The sequence below is a fragment of the Homo sapiens genome, chromosome 1 (genome assembly GCF_000001405.40).
Source record: "Homo sapiens chromosome 1, GRCh38.p14 Primary Assembly".
Classification (NCBI taxonomy): Eukaryota; Metazoa; Chordata; class Mammalia; order Primates; family Hominidae; genus Homo; species Homo sapiens.
Genome location: NC_000001.11, coordinates 36,136,572 through 36,157,692, shown reverse-complemented (window position 1 = coordinate 36,157,692; position 21,121 = coordinate 36,136,572). Strand labels below are relative to the sequence as shown.

Below are 21,121 nucleotides of genomic sequence, written 5' to 3'. Positions count from 1 at the left end.
CCACACCCCAAGGGGCAGGGAGGTGACAGGATTAGGCTCAGGACTCCATGGGGGTGTGGGGATGGGGCCACCTCCCCCCTGAGTCAATGGGAACAGAACTTGGGTCTTCAATAATCATGTTCTTCCCTCCCCTTCCAGGAAGAAAGAGAAATCGCCTCCCTCCAAAACCAAGCCCAACCAGAAACCTGTCCCCACCCCCTCATCAGCTGCTCCCAGATCCGAATGGGATTTGCAGAAGTCCTGAGCACTGGTGGTTGGTGGGGTGAGGGAGGGGAGGGGAGCTTTGGTGGTCTAAGGTGTGGGCAGAAAGAGAGAAAAAAAGAGAGTAAGGGGGGAGGTATCAAAGCCTCAGGCTGGGGAATGATGTGGCAGGTCCAGGGAGTGCCGGCTTGGAGCCTTTACCTCATTCTCTAGTGGGAGATTGGGGCCCAGAGAGGCTGGGAAGGAGGGCAGGCAGGAGAAGCAGATTTACTTCTGTCCCCCTCCTCCCCGAATCAGGCTGGGTGGGCTCCAGAGTAGGCCTGGCTGCAGGGGAGGCGGCCCACTCCCCAGCTCCCGCCCTCACCCCAAACAATGCCGCCTCCCCCTCCCCCTCGCCTTTATCCGGCGGGTTACTTGGCAGCAGCGGCTAGAGACCTCCCTCTCTCCTCCCCTCCCTCCTTTCCCCTCCCCGCCGGCCCGCAGCAGCAACAGGCCCTTTGCGCGGCAGCTGGACGGATGGGGTGGGGGCGAGGTCTGGGCCAGGGCCTGAGGGTACGGGCACTAAGGCCGAGGCGTCGGTATGCAGGGCCCAGGCCTGAGAATATGGACCCCCGACACACTCAGGCTGGGGTCACATGTGCCACGGGGGATGGGGAAGGGGACGGAAGCCCTAGCTCAGTAGAAGAGGATCTTCAAGGCCCGGGGTGAATCGGGAAGGGACGTGGGGGCGGGGAAGCTGAGATGGCACTAAGCTGGGGCAGAAGGGTCACCCCAACAACTCCCGCGCGGGGTCCCTGCGGCTCCCGACGCCCGATGCGTCCGGCACCCGGGGTGGGGGAGGGGGCAGCTGTCAGAGGATGCATCGCGAGCCTGGAGCCGCCGCCGCCGCAGCCTTTATTTTTAAACTTCCAAGTGGTCAGAGGGCGCGGCAGCGGAGGGGTCCCCGCCCAGCCGGCCGGCCTCATCCTCGGCCGCCCTGCAGCCCCTCCATCTACCCCCATCTCGCCTCCGCGTGGCTCCCGGCATACCTGGGGGTGCGCCCGCCCCCAGCTCCGCACGCGGGCCGCTCTCCATGGCTGCGGCGTCACTGGGGGTCTCGGGGTCTCAGCGGCGGCGGCGGCGGCGGCCAGTGGCCAGGACAGGGGTCCCGCGGCGCATCACGCCCGGCCCGGCCCGGCCCGGCAAGTAGCGACTCGGAGGCGGGGGCGCTCCGGGGAAGGTCGAGGCAGGTGGCCCGCGAGTCTCGGAGGTGCCGGTCGCCCGGGGTCTCTCGGCTGCGGTCGCGAACCCGTTCCCCGCCCGGCGCCGGCCCAGTCCCGGCCTCGGCCCAACCCTATTGTACCGCCCGGGCTGGGCCTGGCCTCTCGCTGGCGCGTACCAAGTTCGAGGCGGGGGGGTCCACCCCAGCAGCGCCCCGGGACCCAGCCCCCCGCGCCCGCGCCGTCCGCGCCGTTCGCGCCGCCCCCGCCCCGGAGCCCCGCGCCCGCAGCCTCCCGGCGCCTCTCCCACGGCCACGGCCGAGCGGGCTCCACGGCTCCAGGAGTTCGCCGCGCTAGCTGCCTCCCCCTGCGTCCGCGTCTTGGTACGCGCCGCAGCGCCTGAGGACTAAGTAGGGAGCGCTCGGGTGACTCACCCGCCGCGGGGACTGGGGGAGAGGGGGAGCAGGGCTGGGACTCCCCTTTCCCACCCTGGAGTTTGGGGGCTCTGGCACTGGGGCTGAGAGGGCAGCTTCGAGTCCAAATTCTCGCTCAAACCCACCTAAACCAAAGCGGCCCGGGGGACGTCGGGAGGCATGAAGGAGAGTCACAAGGAGACCCCTGAAAGGGTTTCGCTTTCTCTCCCCTGCTGATGGCTGGGCTGGGGACAGGTCTGGGAGCCTTGCTGCCGCCCTTGCTCCGGCATTCTGCGCTTGTGTCTTCCCTGCTCCTCTGGGGGTAATTACAGCCCTGCGCAGCTGCCTTACCCAGGTCTCTAATCTGCTGGGTCCCTCCCGGCTCCAAACTGGGTGGTCCTAGCCCTGGACCTCCCCCACCCCCACCAGACGACCCCGCCAATCACCCCAGAAGGATTTTCTCCCAGTGGTCTGTCGATGAGGGGGTGGTGACCCCCTCCAGAATCCACTCCCCAAAGTAGCCCTGCTTCCCAGCCCTCCAGAATGGACTCCCAGCCCCCTTGTTGGTGCCAGCTGAGGTGAGGGCTTCAAGCCAAGCCAGGCCCAGCCCGGGGCAGAGTGGGGAGCTTGCTGGGAAGGTGGATGGATGATGGTGGTGCTGCTGCAGGGACTTGGGTTGCGGGGGAGGAGGAGGGGCAGCTGTGCCCTGCCCACCCTGGCCCTGCCCTTTGTCCTGACTTCTAGAAGGTCAGTTCTCTAGTTCTTCATTGTCCAGAGATTAGGCCCAGTGAGATACTGTCCCCCTTGCCCCCCTTCCCTCCAGTTTCTCCTTCCTTTAAGCAGCTCCAGAAAGCGGCCATTTGGAGGGATAGAGTGGGAAACAAAAGGGTCAGGGGCTCAGGCAACCTGGGAGCAGCCTGTCCTGGGATGTGTGCGTATCTGGGGGCTTGGACACTCTTGGGAAGGCCTGGGAAGGGAATAGTGTCCCCTCTGGCCCAAAAACATTAGAAAAGGATGATGATAGAAGGGCGGCAACTGGAGCCAGTAACCTTGAGCTAGTGACTTAACTTTTCTAAAATCTAATTTGCTCTCCTACAAAATCAGAAAAATAGTAGTGCCATGAGGTATCTTGGGGTCTTTGTAAAGATTAAATAAGGCAATGGAAATGAAGTGCTGAGCACAGAACCTGGCATCTAGGAAGTGCTCAGTAAACAAGTATAATGGTGATGAAGGCATTGATGAGTAAAAGTGGAAGGACGAGGAGCAGATCCCCCATCTTTGTGTCAGTCATCTTATCTGCAGGGTGGGGGGACTGCGGGGATGACGGAGTTCATGACAGTCCTTTGTGAGGTCAGGGGCCTCACAGCCTGCCTCTTCCAGAGCTGGACAGGCCAGACCTGACTCAGGCAGTGACCAGACTCAGGAGAATTCAGGAACACGTATGGGGAGAGAGCCCTCTGGAATGGTTCTTCTCCCACCTCCCACCCCTTGTCTTGAGATTACTGCAGGGATGGAGATGGATGGATGGATGGATGGGAGTCGCGAGATACCCACATTGGCTACGGCTCAAGACTAGTGGCTGGCTGTGGTGGCTCACACTGTAATCCCAGCAATTTGGGAGGCCAAGGTGGGAGGATCCTTGAAGTCAGGAGTTCGAGATCAGCCTGGCCAACATGGTGAAACCCTGTCTCTGCCAAAAATACAAAAGTTAGCCAGGTGTGGTGGTGGGTGCCTGTAATCCCAGCTACTCCAGAGGCTGAGGCAGGAGAATCGTTTGAACCCCAGAGGCGGAGGTTGCAGTGAGCCAAGATCATGCCACTGCACTTCAGCCTGAGCAACAGAATGAGACCCTGCCACAACAAAACAAACAAACAGCCAAACAAACAAAAGGAATAGTGGAGGTGGAAATGGCAGCTAAAAATGAACAGATAGGCCAGGGACAGCCCACGTAGGAGGACTTGAATGCCAAATGCTTGGAAACAAGCATGGGGAGCTGTTGAAGATTATGGGGTTTTTCAGTAGAGGAAGGGTGAGCAGACTTTAGAACTGGAAATCTATTGTCTTTGGGATTGACTGTGGGGAGCTCACTAAAAAGAGCCCCTGGTATTAGCCTACATCAGGGGGTTCTCAACCAAGGGCAATTTTGCCCCCCAGGAGACATTTAGCCATGTTTAGAGACATACGGCGGTGGGCGGGGGGTGTGTCTCTAAACATGGCAGCTACCGCGTAGAAGCCAGGGATGCTGTTTACCATCCTACATTGCGTAGGACCATCCTCACAATAAGGAATTCTCAGGTGCAAAATGTCAGTAGTGCTAAGGTTGAGGAACCCTTCCCTAGCTTGAGGGTGAGGCACTCACAAGATGTTGGTGCTGGAGACCAGCAGAGCATCTGGGAGTTAGGCAGCTTAAACGACAGTTCTCCTGGCCAGACCTGAAGGTTTCCTGTGCTGCTGATGAGTCCACAGGGAGTGTGCGGAGGATGGCTGAGGAGGGGCCTGGAGAGCACCCGTGTTCCGTGATTGAGGCAGTTGGTGGACAGAGGAAGTGGACTCCTCTCCATTCTCCTCCTCACTGGCCAGGATCCCTGGCAGATTCCAGGCCCCAGCAACCAAGAGGGTTAAGAGTGTCTCTCTCTGAGTTTGGGGCTAGGTAACGCTGCATGGGGCACCACAAATAGACATCCCAGAGAAGGAGCAAGTAGGGTACTTGCTGAAACCCTAACATAAGAGGCTGAAGTCCCAACAGCATTCCCTGCAGTCTTTGGCGAGCGACAGGGACCTCTGGACCAGGGCAGTAGGAGATCGTGGCCCAGGGCAGTCTCCTCCTTCTGCACGGAAACAGGCATGAGTGAGCTGTTCCTTTCACCGCAAGGTTGGGCTGGGGCTGGGGGAAGCCCACAGAATGGGGATCAGAAATATGTTCCTATCCTGGCCAGGCACAGTGGCTCACGCCTAATCCCAGCACTTTGGGAGGCCAGTGCAGGTAGATCACTTGAGCTCAGGAGTTCGAGACCAGCCTGGGCAACATGGCGAAACCCTGTCTCCACCAAAAATACAAAAAATTAGCCAGGCATCGTGGTGCGTGCCTGTAGTCTGAACTACTCAGGAGGCTGAGGTGGGAGGATCACTTGAGCCCGGAAGGTCAAGGCTGCAGTGAGCCATGTTTGTGCCACTGCACTCCAGCCTGGACGACAGAGACCCTGTCTAAAAAAAGAGAGAAAAGATAGTAAAAAAAATCTTTAAAAAAAGAGTATACTAAAGAAATTTTTGGCCAGGCGGGGGTGGCTCACACCTGTAATCCCAGCACTCTGGGAGGCCGAGGTGGGCAGATGACCTGAGGTCAGGAGTTCACGACCAACCTGGCCAACATGTCGAAACCCAGTCTCTACTAAAAATACAAAAACATTAGCCAGGCATGGTGGCACATGCCTGTAGTCCCAGCTACTCAGGAGGCTGAGGCAGGAGAATCACTTGAACCTGGGAGGCGGAGGTTGCAGTGAGCCAAGATCACACCACTGCACTCCAGCCTGGGCGACGGAGCAAGACTCTCTCAAAAAAAAAGGAGGACAAAAAAAAAAAAAAAAGAAAAAGAAATATGTTTCCATCCTGTTTCCCCGAGGGGAAGAAAGGCAAGGATATTTTCAGCCTCCTAGTTTGGTGGGGCAGGATCCAGGATGAACCTGATGGAGAGATGAAGGAAATCACTGGGAGAGTTAAGAAAATTAACAAATCTCTCAGAACTGAGGCCTTGGATGCTGCTCCCACACCCACAAATTACTGCAGGAAGTGGGAGGGGCCTCACAGTGGGGGCAGAGGAGAGAATAGGCACCCATTCTCACTCCCACCCCAGCCTCAAGGCACTGCCCCAGCCTCAAGGGACTGCAGCAACACGGGGTCTCTAACCAGCACCGGCCTTCCTGGGGGGCCTCAGCTCCCAGGGCCCACTCCCTGTGGCTGGTGATGCCAGCTGCCCCTCCCTGTCCAGCTCTTGGGGAGGCGGGGAACTCAGATACAGGACTAAATAGATTCAACCCTTTGGGTTCCCAGGAGAGAGTCTTTGTCTAGAGCCCCTGATAGGAACAGAAAGCTATCCCTTGTGTTGTTTTCTAGGGAGAAGGAGAAGAGGGTGGTGAGGGGACATCTGGTGTTCCTAAATGTCCTGGCACCTAGAAGTGGTAAGGAGGGTTGGGATTTGGGAATGATGGAAACCATACTGAGAATCCTTGGAACAGCTGTCTAAGGAGTTTTGTTGTTGTTGTTGTTGTTTTGAGACAAGGTTTCAGTTCTGTCACCCAGGCTGGAGTGCAGTAGTGCAAACATGGCTCACTGCACCCTCCACCTCCTGGGCTCAAGCAATCTTCCCACCTTAACCTTCCTAGTAGCTGGGGGCCAGAGGTGCACACCACAATGCTCAGCTGGTTGTTGTTTTTTTTAATTTTTATTTATTTTTGTTAAAAAAGTAAATAAACAAAAGAGTGGCTATTTCATAACAGAACAGCCTTTTTAAAAATTATTTTTTATGGAGATGGGGGTCTCACTATGTTGCCCAGGCTGGTCTCAAACTCCTGGGCTAAAGTGTTCCTCCTGCCTTTGCCTCCCAATGTGCTGGGGTTACTGGCATGAGCCACTGTGCTCGGCCTAAGAAGCCTTTAAGAACCTATCTGAGTGAGGAGGGGATCATATAGATCAACCTGAGATGGCCCCCACCCCCACTGTTCATTCAGGACTAATGACACTGCAAGTCCCAAAGAGAAAGAGACGCCAAGAGGAGGAATCCCAGGCAGAGAGAGGCAAAATCTCGGAGGCTGTTGGACAGGCAGGGAAAGGCTCCACCTCCACTCTCTCTAGAACCGCCCTGCTTGACAGCAGGCAGGGTGGGGTTGGGTGGCTGGCTGTGAGTGTGACTCAGGTTTCTGTGGGCAGCCAAGGGCAGCCGGCAGGGAGGAGCCCAGACCGACAGACCGGCTGGCCAACTGCAGCTTTCACCTCAGCTGTCCTCTGTCCTGGGAATGCAGAGGGCTCTTGTCTAGCTGAGCTGGCCCTTGGGGGCTAGTTGACTCCTGCTTTCCTCCCCCAACCCCAACCAACCCTCAAGTTCCTTCCCAGAGCCCTCGGCCCTTGGCTCCCTCCCCTGTGGCATTACACAGGATGGAGAGTGAGGGGTCACTGCCTCTAGGGAGGAAACAGAATGTCTGGGGAAAAGGGTATAATAATGATTGGTCCTGCACCCTGAGGGAGGGACTGGGGGAACCCTGGGCACCAGCTTGCAGCCTCAGCGGCCCCCCAGCCCTCCCTAGCCTGGCTGGCTCGTGTCTGGACAGGCTGGTTGTCATGGTGAGGGCTAGGGGCCAGAATGCAGCTGCTACAGTCAGGCTACCAGGCCTAAGTGAACAGAGAGTGCTCAGGGACCCCCCAGCCCAGCTTCCTCAGAGTTGACCAGCTGAGAGACCGCGGGAGCTGAAACCAAAGAGCTGTGGTCAGGGACTATAGACTTCCCCTTGGTGATGGGTGAGAGTTCAGCCAGCACATTCCCTTCGTGTTTCTGGTGCCTGTTTGTTGGCTTGTTTTTGGAGGGTGGCTGGAAGGGAATACACGTTTCTTTTATGCCTTTTATGCGCCCAAGTGCTGGGCATGCGTGGCTCACCAGTCTTTACAACAACTGAGAGAGATTTAGCAACTTGCCTAAAATGGCAAAGCTGGGATTAGAACTCAGAACTGACGGCCACGACAGTTAGTGATCTTTGTTTTCTGGGAACCAGGCAGTGTAGCTGTTCTAGGGGGAGGGAGGGGGAGAAAGTGACTTGAACTTTACCTAAAAGACTGGATATTCCATCACGAGGCCACAGGTGGTAGAAGGCAGGTGCTGGCATCATTTGGGGTTTGGCAGTCTGAAGAGAAAGACACTAGCGAAATGCTTGGCACATAGTAGGTCATTAAATATTTTTCTAATGAAGAAGCCAATTCTGTGTGAGTCATTGCTAGTTTTCTGGGACATCTTGGGAGCTTCTGGAGCTGAATCGCAACAGCGGAAGACGCTAGCTCGAAAGAGGGACTTTCCAAGACCAACCCCGGCGAGAGAGGAATTTGTGGAGCATCATCTCTGAGCCGGGCGCGGGGGGAGGGGGACAAGGAGGAAGCGTGTGTGTGACCCAGGATTACCGAAGGCTGCGGACGCCACCCAGCGGCCAGGATGCTGCCCAGCGCAAGCTGGGCTCTACCAGGCAGGCGCGCGCGGAGCACTCCGGGAGTTGTAGTTGACTGTGTTAAGAGGCGGTGCTGCCAAAGGGGCTGTTGGGTGTTGTAGTCTGACGTTTGTTGGGCGGGAGTTGCCCACGTCGGCCGGACCACTAGTCCCGTGGTGCCCCGCGGGAGGCCGCGCAGGCGCAGTGAGTCAGTGCCGGTCGGTCTTGTGGGCTGAGGGGCAGCGGCTTAGGCTCCGGCGTCTGCAGGGGTCGCCGAGCTAACCCGTGGCTAGGCGAGTGGGGCGGGGCGGCCGGCACCATGTCGAGGCAGGCGAACCGTGGCACCGAGAGCAAGAAAATGGTAACTTGGAGCGCGTGACCTCGGCGGGCGGGGCGAAATTGAGGCGTACAGGGAAGGGGCCCGGCGCCGAGCGCGAGGTGCGTTTGGAAAAGGGCCTTCCTGTGAGCTCTGGCAAGGGGAAGCCTCTTGCTGGGTCACTCCGGGGGCGTTCCAGGCAGGTGAGGGGACCGTCGGAGAAGTTCCCCGGAGGAGACCCCGCCCCCAAGGCCTGAGTGCAGCTCTGTGCTAAGCCAACAACAACGACGGTAATAAATACCAATAACTGCCACTTAACTTCTCTCTTACTATGTGTTGGGCACCGGGCCACGCACGTTACAGCATCTCAGTTAATCTGCAGAGTAGCCCCTATCAGATGGATAACATTGCCGTTTTACAGCTTGGAGAGCTTACGTAATTTGCCCATATTTACACCTGGGAAGTTAGGATTTGGACCCGTGTTTAACTCCAAAGCTAATGCTAGGAGCTGACTGTTAGGCTTTACTCTTAGGCTACAGTGTCTCGTACTGTGGCGTGGGTATTGTGAGAGATGTTCAGATACTGGTCGTGCCAGAAAGGAACGTTTTATTCAATGGAATAAGAGATGGGCCAGAGTAAGCAGTGAGTGGTGCCCCTCTAATGGAGTGGGTGGCTCCCTTCTTTCCCAGGGAATAGTTTGGACACCATATGGTCCTATAAAGTTGGACTAGGGGCTGGGGCTGCAGACTTAGGTCATTTTTCTTTCGTTCTTCCCTCCCTCCCCCCGCCCCCAGACGAAATCTCTGTCACCCGGGGTGGAGTGCAGTGGCACTAACTTGGCTCACTGCAACCTCTGCCTCCCAGGTTCAAGCAGTTCTTCTGCCTCAGCCTCCCGAGTAGCTGGGATTACAGGTGTCCACCACCACGCCTGGCTGATTTTTGTATTTTTAGTAGAGATGGGGTTTCACCATGTTGGCCAGGCTGGTCTCGAACTCCTGACCTCAGGTGATCCGCCTGTCTCGGCCTCCCAAAGTGCTGGGATTACAGGCGTGAGCCACTGCGCCTGACCAATTTTTGTATTTTTAGTAGAGACGGGGTTTCACCATGTTGGCCAGCCTGGTCTCGAACTCGTGGCCTTAAGTGATCTGCCTGTTCAGGCTCCCAAAGTGCTGGGATTACAGGGGTGAGCCACCACACCCGGCCAAAAGACGAGAATATTTTGTTAGGAAACAATGTCAGGTAAGGGGAAACACATGGACCTTGGTTGGAATTCTGACTTACTTGATTGATCTTCAATTTCTTTATCTATAAAATGGGGATAGTAATGTCTACCTAATATTAAATGGGATGGTGTAAAATGTGAGGGGCATGGTAAATGTTTCTTTCTCCTTTTCCTATGAGATGAGTAGAGGTCTTCCTGGTTAGTTTTTGTACTTTGCTCTCATTTTATCCATTTTTTAAGCCTGAAATCAATATTGAAATCTTTAACAAAAATCTGCAGACTCTACCCCCAGCCCCCAGTATTCTTCGTTTCAGTGAAGTAAGGTAATTAGGGAGGGGCAGCAGCATACTCCTGCCCTCAAGGCTCTTGGAACTCCCTTCTTCTAGATAGTCACTTAGCCCACTCCTGCCTTCATTCATAGTTACTCAAATGTCACCTCCTTTGAGAGGCCTTCCCTCCTGATTACCTGCCTAATTCTCTAACCTCTAACTCTATGCTGGTTGTCTTCATAGCACTGTCTATTTAATTTTAAATGATATACCCAGGCTGGAGTGTAGTGGCATGATTGAGGCTCATCCAGCCTGACCTCCCGAGTTCAAGCAGTCCTCCCGCCTCAGCCTCCCAAGTAGCTGGTACTATAGGTGTGCACCACCATGCCTGGCTAATTTTTTTTTTTTTTTGTAGAGCTAGGGGTCTCCCTGTGTTGCCCAGGTTGGTCTCGAGGTCTCGAACTCCTGGGCTCAAGCAGTCCCTCCAACTCTGCTTCACAAATTACTGGGATTGCATCTGTGTTCCATTTAAGCTTGCCAAGACCTAAATTGTTTTGTTTTGTGTTTTGAGACAGAGTCTCGCTCTGTCACCTAGGCTGGAGTGCAGTGGCCCGATCTCAGCTCACTGCAGCCTCCACCTCCCAGGTTCAAAAGATTCTCCTGCCTCAGCCTCCCGAGTAGCTAGGATTACAGGCACCCAACCACTACGGCTGGCTAATTTTTGTATTCCCAGGTTGGTCTCAAACTCCTGACCTCAAGTGATCTCCCCACCTCAGCCTCTCAAAGTGCTGGGATTACAGGTATGAGCCACTGCACCCAGCCTTCATTTTTTGTTTCTTGAAGCACCAAAAGCACAGATTTATTGAAATGAAAGTACACTCCACATAGCAGGAGCAGGCTCAAGCAAACGGCTCAAGAGCCATCTAAATTGTTAGTATGCCCAAGTAACTAGATTTTAGTCTGTGCAAACAGAAACAGCCCTTTTGTCCAATAAACTTTTCTTTAGCCCCAACTATATGCAGAGCTCTGTGCTAGATGCTGTGGGAGATGCAAGGATGAAGTCCTAGTCCCTAACTTTGAGAAGCACATACTCTGTGAGGGAGACAGAAATGTATACCATATATACTGTGTATCTTCTAGCAGTGGAAAAATAAAAAGAAATGTTTGCCATACAGAGGTGTAGTACCGCCTGCACCTGAGTTCTAGTTTCACCACTTACTTGCTGTGTTACCTTGGGCAAGTTTGTTCATTGTTCTAGCATCAGCTTAATCATCTTTTTTTTTTTTTTTTTTTTTTTTAATGAAGTAGGCTGGGTGCGGTGGCTCATGCCTGTAATCCCAGCACTTTGGGAGGCCAAGGCGGGCAGATCACGAGGTCAGGAGATGGAGACCAGGGTGAAACCCCGTCTCTACTAAAAATACAAAAAATTAGCCGGTCGCGGTGGCGGGCGTCTGTAGTCCCAGCTACTCAGGAGGCTGAGGCAGGAGAATGGCCTGAACCCGGGAGGCGGAGCTTGCAGTGAGCTGAGATTGCACCACTGCACTCCAGCCTGGGTGACAGAGTGAGACTCCATCTCAAAAAAAAAAAAAAGAGAGACCATCCTGGCCAACATGGTGAAACCCCATCTCTACTAAAAATACAAAAATTAGCTGGGTGTGGTGGTGCACACCTGTAGTCCCAGCTACTCAGGAGGCTGAGGCAGGAGAATCGCTTGAACCCGGGAGGTGGAGGTTGCAGTGAGCTGAAATGGCACCACGGCACTCCCGCCTGGCGATAGCAACACTCCATCTCAAAATAATAAATAAAATAAAAAGGCCGGGTGCTGTGGCTCACGCCTGTAATCCCAGCACTTTGGGAGGCCAGGGCGGGTGGATCACGAGGTCAGGAGATCGAGACCATCCTGGCTAACACGGTGAAACCCTGTCTCTACTAAAAATACAAAAAAAAAAGTTAGCCGGGCGTGGTGGCGGCCGCCTGTAGTCCCAGCTACTCGGGAGGCTGAGGCAGGAGAATAGCGTGAACCCGAGAGGCGGAGCTTGCAGTGAGCCGAGATCGCGCTACTGCACTCCAGCCTGGGCGACAGTGCGAGACTCTGTCTCAAAACAAAAATAAAAAAATGAAGTAATAATAGTACCTATATTATAGGGTTGTTCTGAGGATTAATTGAGAGAATGCATGTAAAGCTAGCAGTGTAACGGTGCACTTAGAACACAGTTGACACCCAGTAAGTGTCCTCTAGATGTGTTATTAGTAAAGCTAGTAGCCTTCATGTGCCTGTACGGGGGTTGGCTCTGGAATCCCATGGACAATGAGACCTGCCCTTCTCTTGCGTTGGCTTACTGTGACCCAACCCAGTGTCTATTCCCCTGAGCTCAGGTGAGCCATTACTTACGTAGTAGCACTTGGAGTCTCCATGACAAAAGGCTGGAGGGTAAGAGAGTTGGCTGGATTTAGTCTTGCTATTGATCCTCCTCCAGCTGCTAGAGGGGATTCACACTGGATTACCTATTTTGACAAAAATAGTATGAGTCTTGGAGCATTGGCTCTAAAGATCAGCCTCCTGGCCAGGCATGGTGGCTCACACCTGTAATCCCTGCACTTTGGGAGGTGGAGGCGGGTGGATCACAGGGTCGGGAGATGGAGACCATCCTGGCTAACACGGTGAAACCCCGTCTCTACTAAAAGAAAAAAAATACAAAAAATTAGCCGGGTGTGGTGGCGGGCGCCTGTAGTCCCAGCTACTCGGGAGGCCAAGGCAGGAGAATGGCAGGAACCCGGGAGGCAGAGCTTGCAGTGAGCCAAGATTGCGCTACTGCACTTCATCCTGGGCGACAGAGCGAGACTCCGTCTCAAAAAAAAAAGAAAAAAAAGATCAGCCTCCTTAAGGAGATTTGACATTTTGTTTGGGGCACTAACGGGAAGAAAGGCCTCCTGAAAACTGTCAAGTGGTGTCTCACCTGAGTGTAGAGCTGGTTTCATTTACTTTGTTCAGGTTGTGCCTGAAGTACTTGGAGATCATGTTAGCATAGCTGCTATAAATCCTGTGGTTTCTTGTCTGCAAAGCACATTCAAGTCCATTATCTTACTAGATCCTACCAACAACCCTGTGAATGGCATGACAGATTTTACTGTTTTACTGTTACTTTTTTTGAGTTAGAAGATTGAGGCTTAGCCCAGTGAATTGATTTACCTAAGTACTCACAGCTGTTAAGCAGCAAGTCCAGACTCAGAATCAGGCTTTCAGGATCTTGCTGTGTTGTCCAGGCTGGAATGCAGTGGTGTAATCACAATTCACTGCAGCCTTGACTTCTCAGGCTCGAGCCATCCTCTCACCTTAGCCTCCTGAGTAGCTGGGACTACAGGCATGTACCACCATGCCCAGCTAATTTGTTCTATTTTTTATAAAGATGGGGTCTCAATGTGTTTCCTAGGCTAGTCTCAAACTCCTGGGCTCAGGTGACCACTTCCGACCCCTGCCTCCGCCTCCCAAAGTGCTGGGATTATAGGCATGAGCCACCATGCCCAGCCAGAAAGTTGTTTATATTGATTCAAAATCTTCTTTCTTTATGACTTGCCCTCCCTTTTTTTTTTTTTTTTTTTTGGAGACAGGGTTTCGCTCTTGTCTCCCAGCCTGGAGTGCGGTGGCATGATCTTGGCTTACCGCAACCTCCGCCTCCTGGGTTCAAGCAATTCTCCTGCCACAGCCTCCCAAGTAGCTGGGATTACAGGCACCTAGTACCACGCCCAGCTAATTTTTGTATTTTTAGTAGAGACGGGGTTTCACCATGTTGGCCAGGCTCGTCTTGAACTCCTGACCTCAGGTGATCCGCCCGCCTCGGCCTCCCAAAGTGCTGTACTTGCCCTCCTTGAACCTAGTTCAGGGTGTGATCTAGCACCACACCACATGGAACCAGTTTAAGAATAAAAATAAGTATGTATTTCTTGAGTACCTGCTGTGCAGCAGGTGCTCCACAAACATTATCTGATTGGAATTTCATTGGAATTACACAGTAACTCTGAAAGGCAGGTAACATTGTCACCATTTTACAGATGGGAAAAACTAATGTTCAGGAAGATTAAGCAGTGGCTTAGGATAACAAAGCTTTTTACAGGATAATGCTCAACTATAAGTAGGCTGTTGAGTCTCAGTTACTTAACCTGTCATCTGTAAAATGGGGATGAATAATATTTGTTCTGCTAACCTCTCGTGGTTGTTATGAGAAACTGTTACAAAAATAGATGTGTTGCAGAAGCGATTCATGTTTCTGGTGGTAGCGGAGATGTGGTGCTTATGTTCAGTGAAGAGATTGGGCTGGTTGACCTTTATGACCTTTATGATCCCATGAGAACTTTTGTTTTAAAAGTCACAAGGGCTGAAAACCCAGGTCTTCAGACTCTGCAACCTCCCGTCACTTATCTGATTTCCTTTTCTGTTCTCTCTTGCTTACTCCTCTCTAAGGCCAAGAGTCTCCCGCTGTTTCTCAAACACACCAGGCATACTTGTACCTCAGGATCTTTAGAATTAGTGCCTAGAATTTTTTCTAGACCAGCTATCTATCCAGATATCTTCATGGCTTACCAAATATCACCTTAGTGAGGCCTTCCCTGATTATTCGATTAAAATTAACCACCCCCCCAACACACACACGTAAATGCCCCCAATCTGTTTTTGTGCTTTATTTTTCTCCATAGCACCTATCACCATCTGGCAAATCATGTATTTCATTTGGCTGTATTGTCTCTCCCCCTCCTGTTAGATAGCCTGGCACACAGTAAATGTTGAATCAGTGATTTGTTTTCATTATACTATAGCCCATTCCTATTTTATTTGTTTATATTTATATTTATTTGTATTTTTTGAGACAGAGTCTCACTCTTCTACCTAGGCGGGAGTACAGTGGTACAATTACAGTTCACTGCAGGCTTGACATCCCAGGCTCAAGCCATCCTCCCGCCTCAGCCTCCCAAGTAGCTGGGACTATAGGCATCCACCACCATGCCTGGCTGATTTTTAAAATTTTTTTGTAAAGTTGGGGGTCTCAGTGTTTGCCCAGGCTGGTCTCAAATTCCTGGGCTCGAGTGATCCTTCTGCCTCAGCCTCCCAAAGTGCCGGGATTACCAGTATGAGCCACTGCACCTGGCCATCCCTTCTATTTTTAAAGCATAAAGGCCTTTAAGTTATACATTTATGTCACTCACAGTTCCACAGAGGCTTGGTTCGTAATTGAAGATGAAGATAGACTTGCAAATCAAGAGAGGGTATGGAGAGCCTAACTCAGGGATCCCATTCCGAGATCCCAGGTATATGGATTCCATGACCACCAACAGATCTGTCCAGGACCTTGATTGTTCTTATTGGTAAATAGGAGGTAGCTGCATGTATAAGGTGCTTGATAACATCATGATTTGCTTGTTACTTGGCATCATGGTGGCCTGAGGCTCTTGGAGTCTCCATCCAAGGGCTCATTAATAATGGAATGAAAGCTCTCCTGATTTAATGCAGTGGTGCCAATTCTCTGGACTGGTAACTGCTGGATTGTTTCCATCCATTCATGCTCAAACCATTCTAGTGCCAAGCCCTTGACTTTACTAAAAAAATCGTTCCCCTCCTTAACAGCTTCCCCTTAATTGCCATATTTGGTAAATAGTCTCTTGGAGACACTGATCTGACTGTTTATTTGAGTTCAAAGGGCCTCCTGATCCTGAAACTGACTTTCTTTGACTCTAGTGCAGCTAAGTTTTTTGGGTATTTTTTTTCTTCTGTTTTTGTTTTTATTGAGGAGGGCTTATTAATACTACAGTTGTGGGGAAGAGTGGATAGGTTGACCATTGGCTTGGAAACCTTTGATTTTTTTTCTCCCCAAATTACTTTTGTCAATAATTAGCTGTTTGTCCTTGGGCACGTTCTTTTTTTTTTTTTTTTTTTTTTTTTGGAGACGGAATCTTGCTCTGTTGCCCAGGCTGGAGTGCAGTGGCGTGATCTTGGCTCACTGCAACCTCCTCCTCCCGGGTTCTAGCGATTCTCCTGCCTTAGCCTCCTGAGTAGCTGGGATTACAGGCACGCGCCACCACACCCAGCTAATTTTTGTATTTTTAGTAGAGACGGGGTTTCACCGTGTTAGCCAGGATGGTCTCAATCTCTTGACCTTGTGATCCGCCCGCCTCGGACTTCCAAAGTGCTGGGATTACAGGCGTGAGCCACCGCGCCCAGCCTCCTTGGGCACATTCTTTAACCATTCTGGGTCTCAGTTTCCTCATCTCTAAAGTGGGGTTAATTCCTGCCTTTCCTGGATTACTGTGTTATCATGGGATAGATAATGAGATACAAGTAGAACGCAGTATTTAAGCAAAAGGCATTCAAATTATTATTCTTGTAGTGCCCCCATCATCAGGCCATGGGGATGGCGTGAGGAGCATTGGGTCCTCAGAGCCTGGGCTTTTACATTTCTTAGACTTTCTTCCCCAGAAAACTTGAAGAGAGGAAGGTTCTTTGCTTCAAATCTGACAAATCTCCATTCAGAAGGAAGAGTGTGGGTGGTTATCCTGATTTTTCAGCCTTATTTCTGAGTTAATTCATTGGTCCAGATGTGCTGTTAATATGTTTCTCACTTTAACCCTGATAATGCCTTTCCCCCTGCCTGCTGCTTTCATTCTTCAGTCTTGGTATTTGTCACTCATTTCACCTTTTACATCAATTTCTTGGTAGATAAGTGACAGAATTCTTCTTTTTTTTTTGACAGAGTCTTGCTCTGTCGCCCAGGCTGGAGTGCAGTGGCACGATCTCGGCTCACTGCAAGCTCCGCCTCCCGGGTTCATGCCATTCTCCTGCCTCAGCCTCCTGAGTAGCTGGGACTACAGGCACCCGCCACCATGCCCAGCAAATTTTTTGTATTTTTAGTAGAGACAGGGTTTTGCCATGTTGGCCAGGTTGGTCTCAAACCCCTGACCTCAGGTGATCCACCCGCCTTGCCCTCCCAAAGTGCTGGGATTACAGGCATGAGTCACTGCTCCTGGCCCCAGAATTCTTTATGTGAGAAGGAGTTTCTGTGATTTTAACTGCTATTGTAATAGAAACCAGTTGATTCTGAAGAGTCACCTCTTTTCCTGGAAATATTTTGGCTGTGAGTTAAGAGGAACATTATTTTCTCCCATGCTGGTGACTTTGGAAAGGGGTTGTCATCAGTGCAATGAACTTGGTCTGGGACTTCCTTCCTTCCCCATGGACTGGGCCCCTGGGTCCTCTGTTGCTTCTGGGAGGGGCCTTGGGAGTACAGTTTACTCTAGGCCAGGACATTCTAAGACATGTGGAAACCATTGGTCACACCTGCCAGCAACAGAGATTAGTTTGTAAATGTCTGTTTCAGGTGTTTCACAGCATCTAGTGAATGACCGTTGCTCCCATACCAGATTCTGGTGACCTGATCTTAGGCTTGACAGCTGTGGTGGAGACTTGGGTTGGCAGAAGCCTACCTTGGTGTGTTGGAAGAGTGATTGCTTAGTGCATGAGGTGCCTTTTACAGCCCATTTTGCAGTAGTTCTGGCTGCAGCCCTGCTGCTTTGACCTTGCAGGCCAAATTTCCTGGCTCCTCCAAAGGGGATGATGTTCTTTCCCTCCAGACACAGTTAGAGGGAATCCTGACAGTTGCATCAAGGCTGGTCCAGACTCTCACCACGCTTTCTCTTTTGTGCTGCTTGGTCCTGACTGCCTTTTGAATCTCTTTTAGAGCTCTGAGCTCTTCACCCTGACCTATGGTGCCCTGGTCACCCAGCTATGTAAGGACTATGAAAATGATGAAGATGTGAATAAACAGCTGGACAAAATGTGAGTGAGCTCCTTCATAGGAGAGACAGAAATGGGGCCTCCCAGCACACTGAGTCTACATTGTCCTTTAGAGCTTAAAACAGGGTTCTCTCTCTTTCTTAGCCAACATTTTGGGTACATTTCTCACTAAACTCATTTACTGGGATGTTTTTGAGATTATCCCCATTTTCCCTTTACCACCAACAACCTTATGTTCAAACATAAGACATTTAGACTCCATCATAGTCTCTTCTCTAACTTCCTTCCCAGGGGCTTTAACATTGGAGTCCGGCTGATTGAAGATTTCTTGGCTCGGTCAAATGTTGGGAGGTGCCATGACTTTCGGGAAACTGCGGATGTCATTGCCAAGGTCATTATTCTGGGCCACCTGTCCATGCTGAAGAATTGCTGCTGAGAGGCACTGCTTACCACTCTTTCTATCTCCCTTAGAGAGGCCTTTAATCTCCCAAAAGACTGGCTAGGCAGCTCTTTGGGTCAAAAAAACATTCCAGGTCGTTAGGGAATAGCATAGATTATTTAATCCCTGTGGATTAAAGCCCCACTGAAATCAAAGCCTGAGCTTTTCCACTGTGAAGGTGTAGCAGAGTAGCATGGGGGTAAAGAATACAGACTCGGTCGGGCGTGGTGGCTCACATCTGTAATCCTAGCACTTTGGGAGGCCCAGGCGGGTGGAACACAAGATCAGGAGTTCAAGACCAGCCTGGCCAAGATGGTGAAACCCCATCTCTACTAAAAATACAAAAGTTTGCTGGGCGTGGTGGCGGGCACCTGTAATCCCAGGTACTCAGGAGGCTGAGGCAGAGAATTGCTTGAACCCAGGAGGCGGAGGTTGCAGTGAGCCGAGATCACATCACTGCATTCCATCCTGGGTAACAGAGCAAGACTCCATCTCAAAAAAAAAAAAAAAAAAAATACAGACTCACAAACCTGGCTCCAGTACTTACTAGTTTTGTGTTTTTAGATAAGTTACTTTAAATTTCTTTAATTACCAGTGACCTCATCTTTTTTTTTTTTTCTTTTTTTCTTTTTTTTGAGATGGAGTCTCACTCTTGTTGCCCAGGCTAGAATGCAATGGTGTGATCTCGGCTCACCACAACCTCCGCCCCCCGGGTTCAAATGATTCTTCTGCCTCAGCCTCCCGAGTAGCTGCGATTACAGGCATGCACCACCATGCCCGGCTAATTTTAATTTTGTATTTTTAGTAGAGATGGGGTTTCTCCATGTTGGTCAGGCTGGTCTTGAACTCCCCACCTCAGGTGATCTGCCCACCTCGGCCTCCCAAAGTGCTGGGATTACAAGCGTGAGCCACTGTGCCCGGCACCAGTTACCTCATCTTTAACATGAAGAAAATAAGAGCTACCCCCAGGGCTGTTTTAAGGAGTAAATGAATAATGGACATGAACATTTAGGTAAAATGCTAGTGTTTAGCATAGTGTTGTGCATATAGTAAATGTTTACTATTACTAGTATTAGTGCTATCTGTTATAGTATTAATAAATGACATAGCACCCATAACTTTGTGGTGTCAGTTACTTAAAAGTTGGTCTTTCTGTTGTAAGCTTGCTGGTCATACCCAAATCCTAAAGAGGATTGACAGTGGAGGGAGCTTTGTGAGAGTTTGGAATTAGGAGGGTGGATAGGGTAGGACTTTTTCTCTGCCCAGTAATGTGTATTCACTTTCAAGAAGGTGCATTCAGGTAGCACAGACAGAGGACAGAGAAGTGGGTTAGGGCCTCTGCACTCAGGCAGCCACCGTGTCGAAAGACTAGTGCTCCCTTCCACTGAGAAGTACAAGCACACAGTGAGTGAGTTGTTGCTTACTTGTATGATGCCTAGGAAAGAAAAATGTTTCTGGGAAAACAAAACAAAACAAAGCGACAGGCAAAACTGTATGATGCCGTGAAGGAGAGGGGTGCAGCATCATGTACAGATGCTTCTCCTTTGTTGTCCTGAGTATCTGAAGTGTCATCTTGCAGAGGCCACAGGTTTGTTCCTGAGCCACTTAATTCCCCTTTGCCAGTTCTGTCACCTTCCCTGTGGTACAGTTCCTGCTGCTCTTCCCCAAAGTGCTGTTGTGTGTCCCCTGACAGGTGGCGTTCAAGATGTACTTGGGCATCACTCCAAGCATTACTAATTGGAGCCCAGCTGGTGATGAATTCTCCCTCATTTTGGAAAATAACCCCTTGGTGGACTTTGTGGAACTTCCTGATAACCACTCATCCCTTATTTATTCCAATCTCTTGTGTGGGGTGTTGCGGGGAGCTTTGGAGATGGTGAGTGCAACTCTTTATCTTCTGGGACACCCGAAATGCAATAGGGACTTGATAAGTGTTTAAATGAATGAAAGAGAGAAAAGAAAGGGCTTTGGCTCACCCCAGCGCTTTACTGCCTGAGATGGTGATGCTGCTGAGGTAGGATCCAAGTCGGACATCTTTACATGGTGATACTCCTCCATACCAGGCTGGTGGAAGGTGGTGCTGTCAGTCCCCAAAGCCCAGGAACATCCATTCTCAGATAGGCTTATTTGGTGACAGTCTCATTCTTGGGTATTCTTTGCTAAGTTTCTCCTTAAGGGTTGGAGCCATTGTCTTATGCAACAGAATGTTGGCGCTGTCAATCTTGTCCTTGTGGGAAACCAGCCCCCCTTTTTTGGATGCTGTGGATGAGTCAGTTATGCCCCATCCCCACTGGTTCCCTAGAGGCTGTGGCCAGGCAGCTACCCCTTCGTTTTCCCACTGTCCCCCAGGTCCAGATGGCTGTGGAGGCCAAGTTTGTCCAGGACACCCTGAAAGGAGACGGTGTGACAGAAATCCGGATGAGATTCATCAGGCGGATTGAGGACAATCTTCCAGCTGGAGAGGAATAACCATCCCTACAACTCGAGGATAGCCATCAGGAGCACTGTTGGAATCAGCAGGCCTCTGTGCTCCCTCTGCCCTCCAGAACTCAGTGACTCTTGAACATGGATGTTATATATTCTTATAACCTGTTTCCATTCTCCATTCAAATAAAGAGCAGACTGCGATATAGTCCATTTACCCCATGTGTGCACATTCAGGAGCGACAGTCTCTGCCCCCATTCCCTTGAGAGGGGCTGGATGTAATCACCTTTGGTTGGACTAGAAAGAGCTCAAACCATTTTACATTCCTGTTTGAATTTTTCCAAAGCAAAACTCACTTTGACCCCATTAAGAGGCAAGCCTGGCACATCTATCCCTGGGCCTTTAGAAAGCCATTTGCCTCAAATGGCTATAGGGTTGTGGGGTGGAGGGAGGAAGGGCTGGGAGGGAGTGGGGAGGAATTGCTAGCTGTAGTGTGACACATTGTAGTGTTTGCCAGGAAAGGAGCCAGTCATGCCGGAAACACTGACTTCTGGGAAGCCACCCAGGTCTCATTCCTCCCTGCTGTTGGAGGCAACATCTCCTCTTTTTACAGAGGGTACATCCTTTTTTCTTACAAATTCTTCAATAAAGACACATTCTTGAGTGAAATCCCAA

General features: G+C 51.2%; 2 protein-coding genes across 11 annotated transcripts in view, besides 6 other annotated features; one reads left to right on the top strand and one right to left on the bottom strand.

The window, feature by feature from the left end:
* Positions 1-1,533, bottom strand: part of MAP7D1 (MAP7 domain containing 1) — a 24,690-nt gene extending 23,157 nt beyond the window's left edge. For all 4 annotated transcript variants that reach the window (NM_018067.5, NM_001388490.1, NM_001286366.2 and 1 more), the window contains exon 1: positions 1,230-1,533. In NM_018067.5, coding sequence (NP_060537.3) covers positions 1,230-1,275 — 46 coding nt within the window. In that variant the 5' untranslated portion in view covers positions 1,276-1,533. The remainder of the gene's footprint in view (positions 1-1,229) is intronic.
* Positions 472-601: a silencer, noted in NCBI's record as "silent region_656". NCBI's record gives its function as "represses an Ori minimal core promoter by ATAC-STARR-seq in GM12878 lymphoblastoid cells {active_cell/tissue: GM12878}" and the evidence as "EXISTENCE:reporter gene assay evidence [ECO:0000049][PMID:35858748]".
* Positions 1,342-1,731: a silencer, noted in NCBI's record as "silent region_655". NCBI's record gives its function as "represses an Ori minimal core promoter by ATAC-STARR-seq in GM12878 lymphoblastoid cells {active_cell/tissue: GM12878}" and the evidence as "EXISTENCE:reporter gene assay evidence [ECO:0000049][PMID:35858748]".
* TRAPPC3 (trafficking protein particle complex subunit 3) lies at positions 1,640-21,121 on the top strand. 7 transcript variants are annotated; one of them, NM_001270895.2, is made up of 5 exons: positions 1,640-1,810; positions 17,527-17,624; positions 17,874-17,973; positions 19,715-19,897; positions 20,371-21,121. In NM_001270895.2, coding segments are annotated over exons 2-5 (405 nt in total). In that variant the 5' UTR covers positions 1,640-1,810; positions 17,527-17,622; the 3' UTR covers positions 20,491-21,121. The 7 variants fall into 7 exon arrangements, 5 of the variants coding, with proteins under 5 accessions (NP_001257824.1, NP_055223.1, NP_001257823.1 ...); NM_014408.5 differs by lacking the exon at positions 1,640-1,810 and adding an exon at positions 8,207-8,356; NM_001270894.2 differs by lacking the exon at positions 1,640-1,810 and adding an exon at positions 8,207-8,356 and having other exon boundaries at positions 17,850-17,973.
* Positions 7,654-8,313: an enhancer, noted in NCBI's record as "active region_743". NCBI's record gives its function as "activates an Ori minimal core promoter by ATAC-STARR-seq in GM12878 lymphoblastoid cells {active_cell/tissue: GM12878}" and the evidence as "EXISTENCE:reporter gene assay evidence [ECO:0000049][PMID:35858748]".
* Positions 7,654-8,537: a biological region, named in NCBI's record as "H3K27ac hESC enhancer GRCh37_chr1:36614757-36615417".
* Positions 7,877-8,537: an enhancer, noted in NCBI's record as "H3K27ac hESC enhancer chr1:36614757-36615417 (GRCh37/hg19 assembly coordinates)". NCBI's record gives its function as "activates a minimal SCP1, AML or CMV promoter by ChIP-STARR-seq in primed H9 embryonic stem cells {active_cell/tissue: H9 hESC(primed)}" and the evidence as "EXISTENCE:reporter gene assay evidence [ECO:0000049][PMID:30033119]".
* Positions 8,444-8,523: an enhancer, noted in NCBI's record as "active region_742". NCBI's record gives its function as "activates an Ori minimal core promoter by ATAC-STARR-seq in GM12878 lymphoblastoid cells {active_cell/tissue: GM12878}" and the evidence as "EXISTENCE:reporter gene assay evidence [ECO:0000049][PMID:35858748]".